Source organism: Homo sapiens, chromosome 21, assembly GCF_000001405.40.
Source record: "Homo sapiens chromosome 21, GRCh38.p14 Primary Assembly".
NCBI classification, from domain to species: domain Eukaryota; kingdom Metazoa; phylum Chordata; class Mammalia; order Primates; family Hominidae; genus Homo; species Homo sapiens.
Window position 1 is genome coordinate 43321570 of NC_000021.9, and position 17939 is coordinate 43339508.

Here is a 17939-nt window from a genome sequence, read left to right on the forward strand (position 1 = left end):
GCCAGGGGAACACCCAGTGGGAGGCCTGTCCCTCCTTCCCGACCCTCCCCTGACCACATCTGGCCTCTCTTTGGGGGCCCTTCTGGGTCTGCCCTCCTCTTCTGGGGCCCAAGGGGGGGCCTTGGGTGGAGCTCAGATGTGCCCCCTGGGAGGCGCTTGCTGGGCAACGCCCCTTGGGGTGGGAGATGGAGCTGGGTGGGCAAAAAGGGGGTGCCTGTGGGTGGGGCCTGCACCTGCACGCTTGCCTCAGCAGGTGTGACTCGGGCAACTGACCCTGGCTGAGGCTCAGGGACCCCCAAAACTTTGCTGTTTGATTGGAGACGTTTTCAAAACGAGTCCTTGGTGGCAACCCCAGGCCAGCTCCACAGGGCCCCACGATCTGTCTTCAGGGTGCTTCCAAGGCAGGAGCTCAGGCCGGTGGGGCACCCTAACCCTCGCTGGATGCTCCTGCCACCCTCCCTGGTCTGCTCCCTCTTGAGAGGGGCATGGGCTTCGAACCATGGGCTATGAGCCTATCCACATACCTTGTTTTCCCCACTAAATGGCAGCGTTTCTTATTGATGCCCATGGAAACCACCAGGGAGGTGGCTCTGCCCCCTGGCTCTACTCAAGGGATCATAATACATTTCAGAGCCAATCTTATCTCCACTACTTTATAGGAGTCAAAAATACAATGTTTTCAAGACAAGGACAGCCCAGCAGACCCACAAAGTCGCAGGGCACAGAGCTGCCCAGCACCCTTTCTCCCCCAGCCCAGCCTGTGCCGGCCGTGTTGTCCCGACAGGCGCCACACGGAGGCCTTCGCAGTTGGAAATGGTGCTGTGTGGCAAGGGCATCTGGGCCGGTGATGACAGCAGACAGTGGCGGGGGCTCGCATGGGGACCCACCACTGCGGCTCCACACTGCAAGCAGAGCCCTGGGCCCAGCCAGAAACCAAGCAGAGGCCATGCAGTGCGGAGGCTGAATGTTCTTGGAGAGTGTGGCCGGCTTCCTCCTCTCTCCAGACAGCAAGACCCAGGATGGGCCTGGAGTTGTCCGAGGACACAAAGCTGGTTTGCGGAGGGCTGGCCTGGGGCGCAGGGCTCCTGGTGCCTGGTTCAGAGCCTTTCAACCCCCGTGTTGCCACACCTGAGCCAGTGCGACACTCAGCTGCAGTGGCCAGACTGTGAGCCCAGGGTCATCGCGAGGCAGACGCCAAGACAGGATGAAGGGCAGGAGGATTTCATCGGGGGATCACCAGTGTGGGAGGAAATGGGGAGGCAGCCAGGAGGCTGGGAAAGCTGTGGGACAGAAGTACGAGTCTGACTGCCAGGGAGGCGGGGAGGGGAGGGAGCGAAGTGGTGGGTGCAGGCTGTGGGGAGCCCTGGAGATGTGGCTGGGGTAGAGGAGTCCCAGTGAGGGACAGGAGTGTGTCTGGTTCTCAGCTGTGTCCCCAGCACCTTGGACAGTGCCTGGCACATAGTACATGCTCATTGTAGGTTTGATGAGCGAGTGAATGAATGCATGGCTGGCGATGGGCTAGTGGAGGAAAGGGGAGAGACCTGTGCGTGGGAAGGGCTCTTGGAGCCTTCTGCCAAGGAGAGTGGAGCCCCAAAGGCAGTACAGAGCGTCTATGTTCTCTCCAGACCGTGACCCCTCAGCCACCCTGACTCAGCCCTATCTGCTCCCTGCCATGGAGGTCTTAGACATGCTATCCCGGGCTGCAGCCTACTAAGCAGGACCTTGAGAGTGAATGTGCTGCCTGAAGCACATGGCCAGCCTCCTTCGGCGCCAGCCCGCTGGCCCTGTTTGCGGGAAAATGCCTTCTGTATTGCTTCGTAATGGCCTGCTTTGTTCAGCCAGCTTTGCACTTGAAGCCAGCCAGCTTGGCAGCCGAACGGCCACATGTCGGTCATTCAGGCAGCAGGTCAGCAGTGGAACTGGGTGGCTTCCAGCTGCCCGTGGGAGCCGGCCTGAGATGAACCTCCTCCCTCCTTCTGAGAAGTGGCCGGGCACACAGGAGTGCAGCCTGGCTGCATTTTCAGTCATTTCCCAGGTTATTTTCCTGGCTGCAGTGACACACCAGCCACATGCTGCCCATGTGGGCCTGGGTCTCCCTGGGCTTAGGAGGAGCCCCACAGGTGCTTTATGAGGACGGGCTGGGGAGAGTGGAGGAGGCGTCCCCAGCCTGTCCCTGCGAGGTGCCCGGGTCCCGGCTGCAGCCTGCCCATGTCCCCAGGTGCCTGCATGGCAGAGCCAGGCCACCTGCTGTGCATCCGCCACCTTGTGCTGGGAGGGTGGCACTCAGTGGATGCCAGCCATGCACCCGCCTCAGCCTCCACATTCACTTTGCCACAGGGAAAAAGGGAGCATTGTGCTGGCCCAGTGACCCCAGACGTGCTGACCTACTGGGAGGGGCAGTGGGTCTGCCCCGCATCCGAGTAAGGCGGGAGCTGCTAAATGCACCCATTTGGGCTCTGCCCCAAAACCTCTTGTGGGAGCCTGGAGATCTGCATTTCCACATAGTTTAGGTAACTCCCAGATGATGGATGTGTTGCGAGGCTGGGAATCCCTACATCACCTTCCCAGGGACAAGCTGATTGCACCCTCAGCTCCCCATCCCAGGCTCTGGCTTTGCTGGGGCCTTGCGGTTTCAGCCCCAGGTTCACGAGCTTGGTTCCGACACCCCTCAGCCCCTCCCTAAGACCTCTTTTGCCTGCTGAGGGAGCAGGCGGGTCTTTCAAAGCTTCCCCCGAATGCCTGGGGTCCTCTCCTCTTGTACTTGCTTGTGAGTCATTCAAGCAGCTCCAGCTCCGTGCTCACCGAGTTTCCTGGGCTTCCCTAGCAAAGTGCCCCAGAACGAGTGGCTTAAAACAACAGAAAGGTATTCTCTCCCAGCTCTGGACACCAGAAGAGCAAGATCGAGGCACACCCTCCCTGAAGGCTGAGGGGTGTCCCTCCTGCCTCCTGCAGCTCCTGGTGGCTCTGGTGCTCTTGGGCTTGTTGGCCGCCTCTCCCCATCTGTGCCTCTGTCTTCCCTGAGCAGGGGAAGCACTGCCATCAGCCCCATGTCACAGACAAGGAAACAGACCCAGGGCTTCCGCAGCCATACACCATGCCGCTGGGGGAGAGGCTGCTGGGACCCCACCCCTGCCCCCCAGGCCTCCTGCTCCCAGAGAAGAGAGCCCCCCCCACCCTGGCAGGGAGGAGCTGAAGGGTCCCTCTCTGAGCACTGTCACCCCGCAGGCCGGGCCGCCGGGGTCTGACTGCAGCCTCCCGAGTCACTCTCAGGTCAGGGAGACACCGCATGACCACGTCCCCGATGCGCCTTCTGGTTGGGGTGAGGCTCTGACACCGCGGAAGCCAACAGGGTTCAGACATCCCGGTTCCTAATGTTTTGCAAGGCCTCAAGCCATGTTTGGGGCATCCTGTGTGTGTGAGGGCCAGCGAGGGCTGGCACTGTACGCTGCAGCTCTGCACAAGGAGGGCTGAAGTTGCTCTCTGTGCCTGGTGCAATTCTCAGGGTGCACATGGGGCACCCCCCAACCCTTGGCCCTCTCCTGATCATCTGCAGACATTCTGGTCCAGCCAAAGGAACCACCTCCCAAGGGCAGAACCAGCCTCCACGCTGGGGTGACTGCCTGCCCCCTGGGTGGGCAGGGCTCTCCCAGCCCCTCTTGTCCCCAGGGACCAAAGTTGGGTCAGGGCCTGGCTGTGCATGGCAGGGAGCTAACCTCTGCGTCCACCAGCTCTGAGTCAGCCAAGAGCCCTGTGCCCACAGGACCTTCTGGAAGCTGAGGCCACCACGTGCAGGCCAGTCTCCTGGGCGCTGGCCTCCGTCTGCACATCCCTGGCTTCAAATGCTACTTTTGCCTTCTGGTCACCACTGCGGTTGGTGCTCACAGGACTTTTCAACATGGACAGGCCTGCATTCAGATCCTGCCTGGTCCTTGCACCACATGTGGCCCTGGCCAGGTCCCCACTCTAGGTCCTCTCATCTGTAAAGTGGGTGGTGCAAGGAGACAGTCCATGGAAAGCACCCGGCGGGGCTCAGAGAGACCAAAAATGTGATCCCCTATCTAAAGCGTCTCTTATTCCCAGGGACCTAAGCGGAAGAAGCCAGTGCTTAACCAGAAGAGTGAGATTGAGGTGGAAGAACCCAGGCACTGGCTCCCCGGGCTGGATCCACCTCGAGGCTCACCCCAAGGCATGCAGTGAGTGGAAGGCTGGGATCCCCACCATCCATGGGCTCTGCTGGACTTGCTGGGGCTCAGGGCTGGGCGGGCACTCCCAGGACTGGCCCCCTGGCCTGGGCACTGTCAGGGCCCAAGGGGAACAGACCTCACTCTTCACCCATGGGGCTGGGTATAGAGGAGCTGTTTCATGGTTAGAGTTCCCAACACCCAGACAAATCCCACTGGAAGCCTCAGGGTGGGGCCCAGAAGCTGCATGTGCAGAGGCCCCCAAGCCACCACGGTGCCCCTAGGGTGCTGTTGTTGCAGAGCCTCGGGCTGGGATCCTGACTCAGCTGCTCACCAGCTGGGCTGCCTTGATATTTAAACTTCAGTTTCCTCTTTTGCAAAGTGTCAATCATAATACCCACAACTCACCTGTAAGCTCTAGATAGGATTCCGAGAACAGCACCGGTGTCGAGGAGAAGTGCTATTAGCCATGCAGTCATACAGGAAAGTCCTATGAAACAAAAGTGACGATCACCTTCCGTTCCACCGTCCGGCAGATGTCAGTTCTGACAAATGTTTGTGTCTCTTCTTCCAGCTTATTTTTCATAATAGAGTGTAATATAAATTGGAGCCATCCTGTACACCTACTTCCCTTTTCAATTTAATGTATCAGAGCATTTCTCTATGTCATTAAATATTCCTTTCTGACATGGCCTTATTTCAGTGCTGCTTTAGGAAATATGGGTTGTTTTCGACTCTTCACTATCATAGATTTATTACTTGTAGGGAATATTGTCATAAAGGAATCTCCACACTTGCAAGGTTATTTCCTAAACATCTGAGTGAAATCCACAGATGCCTCATGTCCCCTGTTGCTTTAAAACGTTGCTCTGTCCCCTCCTACCAGTGGGACAAGGTCAGGCTCCAAGTCCCCACACTGGGGAGGGGTGAACCTTGGGGTGGGGCAGCTGCAGCCCTGGCCAGGCCCTGAGAGAGGCCAGCCCGGGGAGCCACTGCCCGGGATCTCCCACCTGAATCTCATTCCTCTGGTTCAGCAGTGAAGCTGAACCTCGCCAAGCCTTTAGATCTAAATTCCTGTTGGCAGGAAAACACTGGGAAAGAGAGAAGGAGACCAGTTAGACATCACTGCCAGTCAGCAGTGACATCAGGAATGAGAGACGTTTTGAGTCTCAGAGTGCGGGGGATGTCCAGGCAAGGTCAGTGGGGAAAACGCAGTTGGCGTTACACCCTCCCCCATACACCAGTGTACCAGGTTAGCTGCTGTTAGGCACGTCACCTGTCCCCTGTGTGTGCACCTTGTGGGTACCACCCTTGGGTGTATCTCAGTGCAACTGGGGACACATGGGTGTTGCCTCTGTGTGGTGGGAGACATGCCCCTGACTCCAGGGACAAGCAAGCAGCAAGAGGAGGGCTGGAGGCCAGATCCCGAGTTTCATTCCCAGAGCTTCCCTTTCAGTGGCATGAACTAGGAGATGCATATTTTGTTTTCAAATCATGAGACTGGCCAGGCATGATGGCTCACGCCTGTAATCCCAGCACTTTCATGAGATCAGCCGGGCTCAGTGGCTTACACCTGGAGTCCCGGCATTTTGGGAGGCTGAGGCGGGTGGATGGCTGGAGCTCAGGAGTTTTGAGACCAGCCTGGGCAACATGGTGAAACTCATCTCTACAAAAAATACAAAAATCAGCCAGGTATTGTGGCATACTTGTGGTCCCAAATACTCAGGACACTGAGGCTGGAGGATGGCTTGAGCCTGGGGAGGTCAGGCTGCAGGGAGCCAAGATCATGCCCCTGCACTCCAGCCTGGGCGGCAGAGTGAGACCCTGTCTCAATCAATCAATCAATCAATCAGAATGAATAAATAAGTTATGAGATTACGTTAACATTTCCAATTCAAATTTAAGATGACAGTGCTCCTCTTAACCTATTGGATTTTATATTTGTGAATTTTTTCTCTTTCAGTAATAATAATTTTGGTTCCTCACAACATTCACATAATTACTTACTGGCTTTATCCTGGAAGAGGAAAAAATTTAAATAACGATGCCAGACTTAACACTAACACTAAGACCTACTGAATGATACATACGATTTCCTTGCCATTCTTTTTATCCTTAAAATACGCGCCACCAGTTAAAAAAAAAAAGCCTAAATTCTGTGCTGTAAAACTACTTCAAATAATTTTGTCTTTGTTTTAGTTATGTTACAAACTCTATATAAATTTTCACTTTTGTTGGTTTCCTTTTCTAAGGATGCTCTCTTTTAAACTTAAATTTTAACAAATTCAAATTGTTTTGAATATGGGAAACATTCACATAGTTCTGGACTCAAACACTAAAGCCAAGTATCTCCAGAGCAGCTAGCTTCCATTTCTAACTCCACACACACGTAAAGTCACCATTTTTATTAGTTTCTGATTTATCTTTCCAGTGCTTTTCTTTTGCATCTATAAATAAACACGCACATATACATATCCTTACACTTTATTACACAAAAGATGTGTCACTACGTACTGCCGTCTGCTTTTGCCACTTAACAATATATCTGGAAATGGCGTCTTATCAATCCCTGGAGAAGGGGGCTGGGCCTGGGTTGGAGGGAACCCAGCAGGCTGGGAAGGAGGGGTCTGGAGCATTTTCTTCTCCAGGCAACAGCAACACTGGTGGTGGGGGATTGACCTGGGGTTTCCAGGAATAGATGTTGCTGGAATGCTTGAAAGAATATTAGGAGAGAATGTGAGTGCTCAGTATGGTCCGGGCTCTGATCCTAAGCAGCCTGATGCATCTCAGTTGAGACTGGATTCCTCGGCCATCCTGGGGTTTGTAGGAGGATGGCACTGGGCTACATAGCAGCTCCCCTAAATTTACATCTACCCAGAAATGGGGAACATGACCTTATTTGGAAGAAGGGCCTTTGCAGATGTGATTAAGTCAAGGTGAGGTCATACTAGATTTGTGTGGGCCCTAAACCCAGTGACTGGAGTCTTACAAGAGGAGGGGACACACAGCAAGGCCGGGGAGAAGGCCGCGTGACCCCGGGGACAGAGATGGGAGCAGCGCAGCCACAAGTCAAGAATGCTAATGGTTGCCAGCAACACCAGAAGCTGGGAGAGCAAGAAACGGATTCTCTTCTAGAGCTGCCAGAGTGGGGCTGGCTCTCCTGACGCCTTAAGCTCAGGCTTCTGGCCTCAGAACCAAGAGGGAATACACTTCTGTTGGTCTCAGCCACCCCGTTGGTGGCACTTTGCTTGGCAGCTTCAGGACACTCACAGAGATGGGATGGTCTCTGAGGCTGATCCCTGTTCTCACGCCCTTGGCCAGTAGCCTTGTTCTCATCCGAGTGTCCAGAGAAAGGGCTGGAGGAACGCAACTTGGGAAAGTGCAGGCGTCCCACTGACCCAGGCTGGGTGGCGGCAGAGAGTGGCATTCCCACTGAGGTAGCTGGTGACTGCCTGGCCAGCAGGGGAAACCGAGGCACCCAGGATGGCTTCACAGCCAGACCTGGGGAGAGTGTACCCATCAGCAGAGCAAGTGGTGGGGGGAGCCATCGGGAGCCCGGGAGAAGAGGGTGGGTGTGGGGTGATGAGGGCACCGGGAGGAAACATCCCGCCAGACAAGTGGAGAGGCAGCTGGAGTGTTCCAGGGGCTGGGGCTCGCAGGACAGCTGAGTGTGGGGGTGCTGAGGACACGGCGTCTGCACACTGGTGTCCAGGCGGCCCTCGCTCAGCAAGCTCTCCAAGTCGTTTCTGCAAGGTTTATGGAAACGCGGTTTTTCCCGGGAGGTATGTGTGTCACTGGGAATTGTTGAATGTCTGTTTACAGTCGCCACTCCTGCTGGGGTGATTAAAAGCGCCATCAGAGTTGATTGTAGCCTGGGTGGTCTCTTGATCTGGGGGTCCTCTGGGTTGAGGGGGTGCTCTTGCCCTTCCCTTTCTGGTGTAGCACGAGCTGAGCTGGAAGAAAGAGGCTCCCGCACCCTCCTGGCCAGAGACCACAACCCCAGACGACCCCTGTGAGGTGGCGTGAAGTCTCGCAAACCCAGGGACTCGGCTTGGACAGAATTTCCTGGCTGCTCCAGTCTTGAGCCCTTCTGTCTTGCTTGTCTTGCTTTTAGTCCTGCCTATCTGAGACAGCCCAGCCTCACCCCGTGTGTCCAGGGATCTGCTGGTCTTCCCCCGAGCTCCATCCCTCTGTCCCACGCCAGCCCCTCCACCTGGCACACGCCACACAGTGAGCCCCCCTCACCCCCTCCAGGGTGCAGCTGGAGGTCCGGGAACCTGCGCGTGGGCCCTGGGAAGCAGCACGGGGCTTTGTGGGCCAGGCGGGGTCCAAGCTCAAAGGCTGGGTCCACAGTGCCTGCTGGTGACCTTCGGCACGCCAGCTTCCTCCCGAATCAGGGATGCCCTTGCTCTGGGTCTGCTTCTGCTGTAGGAAACCTTCTCCAATTCAGGCTGAGACAGATGTCACAAACAGGACTGTCTCCCCGATTCAAGCTGAGACAGATGTCACAAACAGGACTGTCTCCCCGATTCAGGCTGAGATAGATGTTACAAATAGGACTGTCTCCCCAGGACAGGCGGCCTGTGCTAGTGGCTGGAACCTCTGTCGTGTCATGGCAACACAGCCAACGGCTGCTGTGTGTCCCTCCCAACCCCAGGTCCCAGTCCTTGGACAACTCATGGGACAGTGCGGGGAGCACAGAGGTAAATCTCCCTGCCGCAGATGCCACTGCTGCCTGTGGGTGGGGTCCCTCGGTGCGGGTTCCTCTGCACCTGCTGTCCTGTGTGTCCTGCTGGGCCAGTGTCACCTGGGCTTCCCTCACACCCACTCCCCACTGACTAAGGAGGCCACACAGACCGAGGCCTGAGCCCCAGCCCGCTGCCTGCAGGTTCAGACACTTGGGCATGTTTCTTAGCCATTTGGAGCCTCGGTTTTCCCATCTGGGAAATGGGGACAATGATATCTCAGAGACACTGTAGTGATCACCGGAGAGGACCACAGACCACTCTCAGTGGGGGTGCCAGGCATCGTGTCCATGTTTGGCGAGGAAGGATTCAGCCTGACCCTTGGCTTCCTCCATCCCAGATGTCCCTTGAGGCACGTGGCCTGGGGTGGGGGATCCGGAGAAGAAGGGAGACAGGCCACGACGTACGGTGACCCCAGGCTAGGCCCACAGACCCGGGTAGATCGCCACCACTCCCACTGGAATTCTCAGGGCTGTACACTCATTGTTTGGAAATAATTATTTTTGTGCAGTCCTTAGTTTCCGTAATTAATTCTTTGATAACAGTCCCTTCTATAATAGCTCCTCACAAAGATTCTATAGAAAGCACCAGGCGGTTTCAGCTGAGCCGGCAGCAACAGCCTTTTCTCTGAGCTCGAGGTCTAGGCACAGTCACAGCGGCAGAGAAATGCTGGGTAAAGAGGCCCTGGGCGTTGGGAGGGGCGCCAGCAGAGCAAGGGGCTTCCCACCGCCGCCTCCCTCCCCACAGGCTGGTCAGGCGGCCAGGCTACAGGGGCCCTGCTCTGCAGAAGGCCTTTCCTTCCAGAGCCCTGCAGCCTCTGGGAGCCAGCACCGGCCCCACCAAGCCAATCCTCGGAGTGGGTGGAGTGGGGCCTGGGGGCTCGAACCCCCAGACCGACGGCCACAGCTTGTCGTCTATGGCGCTCTGTGATGGGATGGGGGGACTGCCACAGAGGGAAGAAAGAGAATCGGCCCCTGCCTTCCCAGGGGCCTGATCCTACGGGGAGGTGGGACACTCACGCTCAAGGGCCCAGATGCTGTAAACACAGCTGTCCCAGGTGGTCCAGGTCAGGAAGAGGCTCAGATGGGTCGGAGTCCCACCTCCACGGCGGTTTTGGAGAACAGCCCAGGGGCAAGTGAGTCTGTAGATGTATCTGGCCACCCCGGAGACTCCCCTCTTCCACCTGTTGGGAGCCAGAAAGCCTCCATCTTCCTGCCCCGCCTCGGTCTGCCACTCATAAAGCCTAGACCATCCTACTTCGATATTGCAACATTGCATGGCTGGGGTCCTTTTGGTTGAAGTGACAGAATCCCAACCCAAGCTCATTTCAGAAAAGAAGGGCGTTTGCAGGTTGACTTGCCTAGAAAATGTGGGGTAGAGTGGCTTCAGGTGTAGCTGGGTCCAGGAGTTCAGAGGCGGTCACTAGGCACCATCTAATTCAGACTCTAAGCTCAATCCTGCCTGTGTTGGCTTCATTCTCAGGGAAAGACGGCCCAGGAGCTCTAAGTTCAGGGGGTCCTCGAAACTCCCAACTTGGAGGGTCAGGGTGCTTCTGTCTTCAGCAAAATCCCAGGCAGGGCTTTGTGTGGGCTCGGGCCCCATGCCCACCCCTGTCCTGCTGTCTGTGGTGGAGGAATGAGGTCCTCTTGCTGGCTAGCCTTGGGGTCACATGATCACCCCGAGGTTGGCAGCAGCCCTAGAAACACAGACAACAAAATACATGACACTACGTAAGAGTCAGCAGGCGGGTTTTCTTAAACAAAACAAACAGGGTTTTGTGACGAAGAGAAGAGGAAACTGTCTGGGAAGGCGAAGATCACCAGGGCCCGACAGCACTGTAGACACAATGACATCACTCGGAGCAGCGCGCTTGCTTTCTGGGCCTCACATGCCCACTCGAGTATCTTCCATCTCTCATGCCTGGGAGGCCCCGCCCCACATGCTGTCCCAGGAGCATAGCAGGCATCGTACACTGTGCAGTGTGGGGTACACACGTAGGCACTTCAGACCCAGGAATCACGGACTCCTGTCTCCTGCCATATATGTGGGAGGTCTGTCTCCACTGTAGACAGAGATATGAGGTGTGTGTGTTTGCATGTGTGTGCGTGTGTTTGCTTTGTGTGCGTGTGTGCATGAGTGTGTGCTTGTGTGTGCATGTGTGCGTGTGTTTCCTTGTGTGTGTTTGTGTGCATGTGTGTTTGTGTTTGCGTGTGTTTGCATGTGCATATGTGGGAGTGACAGAGAGGGAGAGTGTGCACACATACTGGGTCTATGCCCCAAGGGCCACTCCCACCCCTACCATGGGGATGCGGTGCCCTTGGGGGTCTGCCCTCTGTGACCCCCAGGCATGTGAATTTTCTAAAACTGGCTTCTCCCCTCTTGGCTCCTGTCCGTCCCAGATCCAGCATCCACGTACATTTGACGCCAATGGAAACTCTGCCTTGTGACTCGTGGAGGGGCCTCCTCAAGGGGCGTGTGACTGTGAGGGGGCCAGGCTGGGCTCGCTTGTGTGGAGGGGAGGGGCACGCTGCGGGGGGTGGGGGGGCGCCACCCCCACCAGGCCAGCCTCAGGGCAGCCGGGGCAGAACCTGTGGCTCTGGGGTAAATGCCGGGGCCAGCTTAAAGGAGTCAGCTCTCTGCAGCCTGCCTCGGCTGGGTGGGAACGAGTCCAGGCTTCCAGGCATTTGGAACCCGAGCAGCTGCAGGGACAGGCTGGAGCCTCAGCCTTCCCTCCCCGACCCCAGACCCTCTCTGGCCCCTCTTAACCCAGCCAGATGAGCTGTTTGCGAAACCTGGCCTGTCGCAGACTGCGGAGAGATCTGAGGAGGAAGGAAACCGTTTCTTAGCACCTCCAGCAGTTCAAGCCCACTTCGAGCCCTCCACGTCCGGGCTTTCTCCTCCTTTGCAAATCTGCTCCTGTTTCTGCGCTTCCAGGAGCCTGGCTGGGGCTGGAAATAGAAATGCATTCCATGCATTCATTCTCTCAACAAATATTTACTAAGCACCTCCTCAGGGCAGGCCGGGGCTGGGCACAGCGTCATCCTCCGCCTCCTCGTCCTCCTCCTCACCAGTGAGCAAAACAGACAAAGCCTGCACCTACGCGGAGTGGATGCCCTAGTGGGGGAGCAAAGGGAGGGGGAAGAAGTGCATCTCGTAGTATAGGGAAGCCTGAGAGCTTTGACAGGGCAGCCGGGAGCCGGGGGTCACAGTTCCACCTGGCTGTTGGCGGCATTTGATCAGGAGACAGTCGCTGGAGGCCGTGAGCCCAGCAGCGTGGAGCTCCCTCGACTGCTGTGACTTCCGCGTGGAGCACAGACGGCGGCGGGGGTGGATGGGAAACTGTAGGAGTCTCGTGCAGTCATCCAGGCCAGCGAGGCAGGGAAGTGGGCAGATTCCGGATGCATTCCGATGACAGAGCTCATGGGGTTCCTGGAAACCAGGAGAACGCGATTCACTCTGAGCAACTGGAAGGATGGCTCTGTCACCACCCAAGAGGGGGATGGCCGTGTGCAGGGATGGGAGGCGGGAGCGGCTGTGCACTCAGGGCAGGAGGGATGTCTCTCGTGAGACATTTACTGGATGTCCACTTGAAGGAAGCAGTTGGGGACACAGTCCGGAGGCCAGGGGCGAGCGGGGTTGCAGAGACACCCAGGAGCCATGGAGAGTACTCACTGCCTTGACAAATCTCTTTTAATTCCTAGACCCAGGAAAAGTCTTGCAAATGTTTATCTGGCATCTCCCCCAATGGTCCCCACCCTGTAGGAAAAAGTTCCTCAGGACTCCAGGGCCAATTTTGAGTCCTCCCAAGGGTTCAAAGTCCTCCTCAGTCTCCTGAAGCTGGAGACACGCTGGTCATGCGTGAGCCTTCACGTCCCTCTCTCTGTCAGCAGAAGCCCCACCAACCCCCAGGAACCCTGACCACCACAGGAAGGCCGCAGTCTGATGGTGAGGCTGCTTCTGTGGCCCAGGTCCTGAAACCAGGAAGAAATTAGATGAGAAGGCTCCTATCCCCCAGCTTCCAGCCTGGGCACTTCCACCCCACCCTCAGCGTGATGGAAAAACGCCGGGGGTGTGTCTGTGTGTGCGTTTGAGAGTGTATGTACGTGTGTTGTTTGTATGTGCTTGTGAGCATGGTGCATGCATGTGTGATTTGTGTGTGTGTTATGTGTATATGCATGAGCATTGTGTGCATGCATTTGTATTTGTGTGTGGTTCAGCATACGTATGTGTTTGTATGTTATGTACGTGTGCTCTGTGTTGTGTGAGTGCATATTATGTGTGTTTGTGCATGAATGTTCAGTATGTGCGTGTATGTTCTTGTGTGAGTGTGTGTTTATGCGTGTGTGGATGTGTGTATGTCTGTGGAGTGTGCAGCACGCATGTATATTTGTGTGTGTGTGTGTGTGTACTTAAGTCTGGTGTAGGCCGGGCACGGTGGCTCACACCTATAATCCCAGGACTTTGGGAGGCCGAAGCAGGTGGATCACTTGATGTCAGGAGTTCAAAACCAGCCTGGCCAACATGGTGAAAGCCCGTCTCTACTAAAAATACAAAAATTAGTGGGGTGTGGTGGCAGGCACCTCTAATCCCAGCTACTTGGGAGGCTGAGGCAAGAGAATCGCTTGAACCTGGGAGGCAGAGGTTGCAGTAAGCCAAGATTGCACTCTAGCCTGGGTGACAGACTGAGATACCGTCTCAAAAAAATAATAATAAAGTCTGGTGTAGAGTGATCGAGTGACATCACACAGAGCCCTCCGGGGCTGCACCTCTCAGAGGCAGGGAGCAGTGAGTGAGTGTGTGCAGGCCAGGCAGTCATGGGCGCTCCGTCAGCAGCAGGCACGCACCCCCCGACCCTGGGGACACCAGTTGTGTCAAGAGAGACTCACCGTCCACCTCCTGGCTGTGGGCAGAGAAGCTACTCCTTAGACCAGGTGGTGCTTCTGGGGGAGGGGAGCGAGGCCCAAGAGGGGCTGAGGGGCAAGAAGAGGAAGTGAACGTCCTCAGGTGAACCACAGCTGGGGTAGGAGAGGGCAGGAGGGGGTCTGGGAGGGCAGCCCCACCAGAGACAACTTCCTTTGAGTGCTTATCGGGACCTTGGCACATAAGGAACCCAAATGCCAATGGGTCAGCAGTGGGCACAGAGCTGGTCAGAGGGTGTGTGGCCTGTGGTCAGTGGTTCGGGGAAAGACAAGGATGCAGTGAAAGCAGTGTGGGCCATGGCTGGACAGTGAGCTGAGGGCTGACAGGACTCATCCTAGCCAGTGCTGACCTCCTGGGGTCCAGTGCACCCCTGATCATGCAGGTAGCCCCATCAGGATTGAAATGGGGAGCACGGATGATGATTTCTGCAGGTGGTTGGAAAGCAGATAGCAAATGCCATGAGCTTTCTCTAGAAAATGGCCAGCTTTATTTACAAGAGTGAGAACATTACTAACACCACCACTGCCACCACTACCATCGCCACTATCATCCCATCATTATCACTACAATCACCACCACCACCATCACCACCATCACCATCACCACCATCACCACCATCACCATCACCATCACCACCACCACCACCAACACCACCACCATCACCACCATCACCACCACCACCATCACCACCACCATCACCAACATCATCACCACCATCACCACCATCACCATCACCACCACCATCACCACCACCATCACCAACATCATCACCACCATCACCATCACCACCACCACCACCAACACCACCACCATCACCACCATCACCACCACCACCATCACCACCATCAGCATCACCACCATCAGCATCACCACCATCACCATCACCACCATCACCATCACCACCATCACCACCACCAACACCACCACCATCACCACCATCACCACCACCACCATCACCACCACCATCACCACCACCACCATCACCACCACCATCACCACCACCAACACCACCACCATCACCATCACCATCACCATCATGACCATCACCATCACCATCACCATCACCACCATCACCATCACCACCACCAACACCACCACCAACCCCACCACCACCACCATCACCATCACCACCACCACCACCATCACCATCACCACCATCATCACCACCACTATCACCACCATCAGCATCACCACCATCACCATCACCACCATCACCACCATCACCACCACCAACACCACCACCATCACCACCATCACCACCACCACCATCACCACCACCACCACCACCACCATCACCACCACCATCACCACCACCAACACCGCCACCATCACCATCACCACCATCACCATCATGACCATCACCATCACCACCACCATCACCATCACCACCACCAACACCACCACGACAATCACCACCACCACCACCACCATCACCACCACCACCACCATCACCATCACCACCACCATCACCATCACCACCATCATCACCACCACCATCACCACCATCATCACCACCATCATCACCACCATCACCACCACCATCACCACCACCACCACCACCATCACCATCATCACCATCACCATCACCACCATCACCACCACCATCACCACCACCACCATCACCACCACCATCACCAACACCAACACCACCATCACCACCACCATCACCATCACCATCAGCAGCATCATCACCACCATCATCACCACCATCAACATCACCACCATCACCATCAGCATCATCATCACCACCACCACCATCACCACCACCACCAACACCACCACCATCACCATCACCACCATCACCATCATGACCATCACCATCACCACCACCATCACCATCACCACCACCAACACCACCACAACAATCACCACCACCAACACCACCACCACCACCATCACCATCACCACCACCACCACTACCACCACCATCACCATCACCATCATCATCACCACCACCATCACCACCATCATCACCACCATCACCACCACCACCACCATCACCACCAACACCACCATCACCACCACCATCACCATCACCATCAGCAGCATCATCACCACCATCATCACCACCATCACCATCACCACCATCACCATCAGCAGCATCATCACCACCATCATCACCACCATCACCATCACCACCATCACCACCACCACCATCACCATCACCACCACCACCATCAACATCACCACCACCATCACCACCACCACCATCACCATCACTACCACCACCTAGCTACTACTCTCGGGGGTAAGGACTGGATATTTCTGGTTGCCCCACTTCCTCTCTCCATCCCTCTTCCTGCCACCTGTACTGCACTTCTGAAAGCTGCCCGCTAGGCAGGTGACTTCTCCCTCTAGGCTCCTTCACCTCTGGGCTTCTGTTTGGGGCTTCAGCCAATCAAAGATGGTGGCAGGACATCAGATTCAGGAAGGACAGACAGGACAGGAGGGACCTTCTGACCACGTCCCTCCAGGAGCACACCCTCCTGCCAGGTGGCCCCTCCCCGGGGCTCTGACCCCTGTTCTGGCAACAGCTTTCCTTCTTTTGCTTCCTTGGTCCTGGGCGTGGTCACGCCTTCCACTACAACAGGCCCCTTGGTGTTTTTCCCTCAACCTGCCGACACCTCTGAAAATGCTCTTTTCATAAACAAATCTCTTCAAACACCCCTGACGAGTGGGCCATCTGTTTCCTGCCCAGACTCTGAGAGGTGTCTGTCTTGCAGTGTGCCAGGATGGCACACACAGCCAGGGAATCCCAGCAGCACCTGTGCAAGACCAGCACCACGGCAAAGTGTCTGGCGTTACCTGTGCCCGCAGTGTCCAGGCTGAACTCAGGGCTGGGGCCTATCCTGGGGCTCTGCAGGAAAGCCAGGCTTCAGGCAGACGGGGCCTGGGCAAGCTCCAGAACCCAGAGGTGGTGAGAAGGCAGGAAAGATCCCGGGAATCAGATAGGCCAGGTGCTATGCTGGAGGGGTGACCTGCTGCGGGCCCCAGAACCTGTCCTGACTGCCCCAGGCTGTGATGGTCTGGCTGAACTCTGGTGTCCGAGAGCCTTGGAGAGAGGGCAAAGAAAGCCCCTGGCCACGGGGACCCACCACGCCACGCCACGCCACGCCAGGGCAGTGGGGAACTTCCAGGCTGGCTCCTCTCTCCTGTGCATGGCCCGCCTCCCTGCCTCCATCCCCTCCTGATTCCCATCCTGTCCTTCCCCTGCTCCCACCCCATTCTATTTTCACCAAAGCAGCTCCCTGGTTTCCCAGCTCAGAAGCCTCTGATGGGATGGGCGTGAGGAGCGCCAGCCCCTGCTGTCCATTGGTCATGACCTCCAAAGAAAGCAACCCCCAGAGCAAGGGGACAAGGAGGCACCTCACTGCATCCTGGGCTGGCCTCTCCTGTTCCCTTGACTCCAGGACGGGAGCCCAGAGTGGGTGCCTGTACCCCGGGAGGGTCTGCAGAAGCAGGCGGGTGGGACTCTGTCATTTCTCTACCAGCTCCTTCCGGAGAGTCCACCACTCCTGAGCTTCAGGGGTGCCCGGACAAACCCCAGCAGGGGCCACAGGCTGTGGTGGGGGGCACTGTCCCAGGCAGGAGGAAACTGGCCTCACTGCACAGGTGTGGCTGGAAAGGAAGTGTGAGTTTCTGGCGTGGAGCCCAACTGGGGCTGAGACAGCACTTTCCCTCCCCTGGGACCCCAGCTCCTTCCAGGGTCTGTGTGACCCCATTTCCTTCCAGGTCTGGATCCTTGGCACGACAGCAGCCTCAGTCACTCTTCCTTCCTGCCGCCTCTGCAGCTGCCTCCTGCTGCCTCCTACCTCTTTCTCTCCTGTTCTTCTCCGTAGTAACACTGGTAGCTGCCACCCCCAGCCCCTGCTGGACACGGCTGTGAGAGCCATCTGGGGGCAGGTCACCCTTTCCTGGAGCACACTCTCATCTTGGGACTGTGAACTACCCCCAAAGATCTGGGAGGTGTCCCAGGTGCCCTGACAAAGCCACCGTTTCTTTGGAATCTCATATTTTTATATGAACAATCCCAGTGTGTCCTCCTCCACTGCCCTATCAACACTGGCGCTAATGGGCAGTGCAGCCTCCCCTC

The 17939-nt window shown here is 56.6% G+C and overlaps 1 protein-coding gene and 1 long non-coding RNA gene across 2 annotated transcripts, besides 5 other annotated features; both read right to left on the reverse strand.

The window, feature by feature from the left end:
* Positions 1-639: 639 nt before the first annotated feature.
* Positions 640-10470, reverse strand: LINC00322 (long intergenic non-protein coding RNA 322). Its single transcript, NR_103713.2, has 3 exons — positions 10287-10470; positions 4590-4671; positions 640-1280 (listed from the first exon to the last, which is right to left on the reverse strand). It is a non-coding gene; the product is annotated as a long intergenic non-protein coding RNA 322 (long non-coding RNA).
* On the reverse strand, positions 6650-8296 carry LOC124905027 (putative uncharacterized protein encoded by LINC00322). The gene has a single exon (XM_047441057.1). It carries the CDS (start codon positions 8035-8037, stop codon positions 7129-7131), a length of 909 nt encoding a protein of 302 aa, XP_047297013.1. The 5' UTR covers positions 8038-8296; the 3' UTR covers positions 6650-7128.
* Positions 6886-7086: a silencer, noted in NCBI's record as "peak4418 fragment used in MPRA reporter construct". NCBI's record gives its function as "represses an SCP1 promoter by STARR-seq MPRAs in K562 erythroleukemia cells {active_cell/tissue: K562}" and the evidence as "EXISTENCE:reporter gene assay evidence [ECO:0000049][PMID:32103011]".
* Positions 7201-8087: an enhancer, noted in NCBI's record as "H3K4me1 hESC enhancer chr21:44748650-44749536 (GRCh37/hg19 assembly coordinates)". NCBI's record gives its function as "activates a minimal SCP1, AML or CMV promoter by ChIP-STARR-seq in primed H9 embryonic stem cells {active_cell/tissue: H9 hESC(primed)}" and the evidence as "EXISTENCE:reporter gene assay evidence [ECO:0000049][PMID:30033119]".
* Positions 7618-7780: a silencer, noted in NCBI's record as "fragment chr21:44749067-44749229 (GRCh37/hg19 assembly coordinates)". NCBI's record gives its function as "represses an EF-1alpha promoter that drives an FKBP-Casp9 reporter gene in an ReSE screen in K562 erythroleukemia cells {active_cell/tissue: K562}" and the evidence as "EXISTENCE:reporter gene assay evidence [ECO:0000049][PMID:32094911]".
* Positions 10572-11102: an enhancer, noted in NCBI's record as "H3K4me1 hESC enhancer chr21:44752021-44752551 (GRCh37/hg19 assembly coordinates)". NCBI's record gives its function as "activates a minimal SCP1, AML or CMV promoter by ChIP-STARR-seq in primed H9 embryonic stem cells {active_cell/tissue: H9 hESC(primed)}" and the evidence as "EXISTENCE:reporter gene assay evidence [ECO:0000049][PMID:30033119]".
* Positions 11103-11632: an enhancer, noted in NCBI's record as "H3K4me1 hESC enhancer chr21:44752552-44753081 (GRCh37/hg19 assembly coordinates)". NCBI's record gives its function as "activates a minimal SCP1, AML or CMV promoter by ChIP-STARR-seq in naive and primed H9 embryonic stem cells {active_cell/tissue: H9 hESC(naive and primed)}" and the evidence as "EXISTENCE:reporter gene assay evidence [ECO:0000049][PMID:30033119]".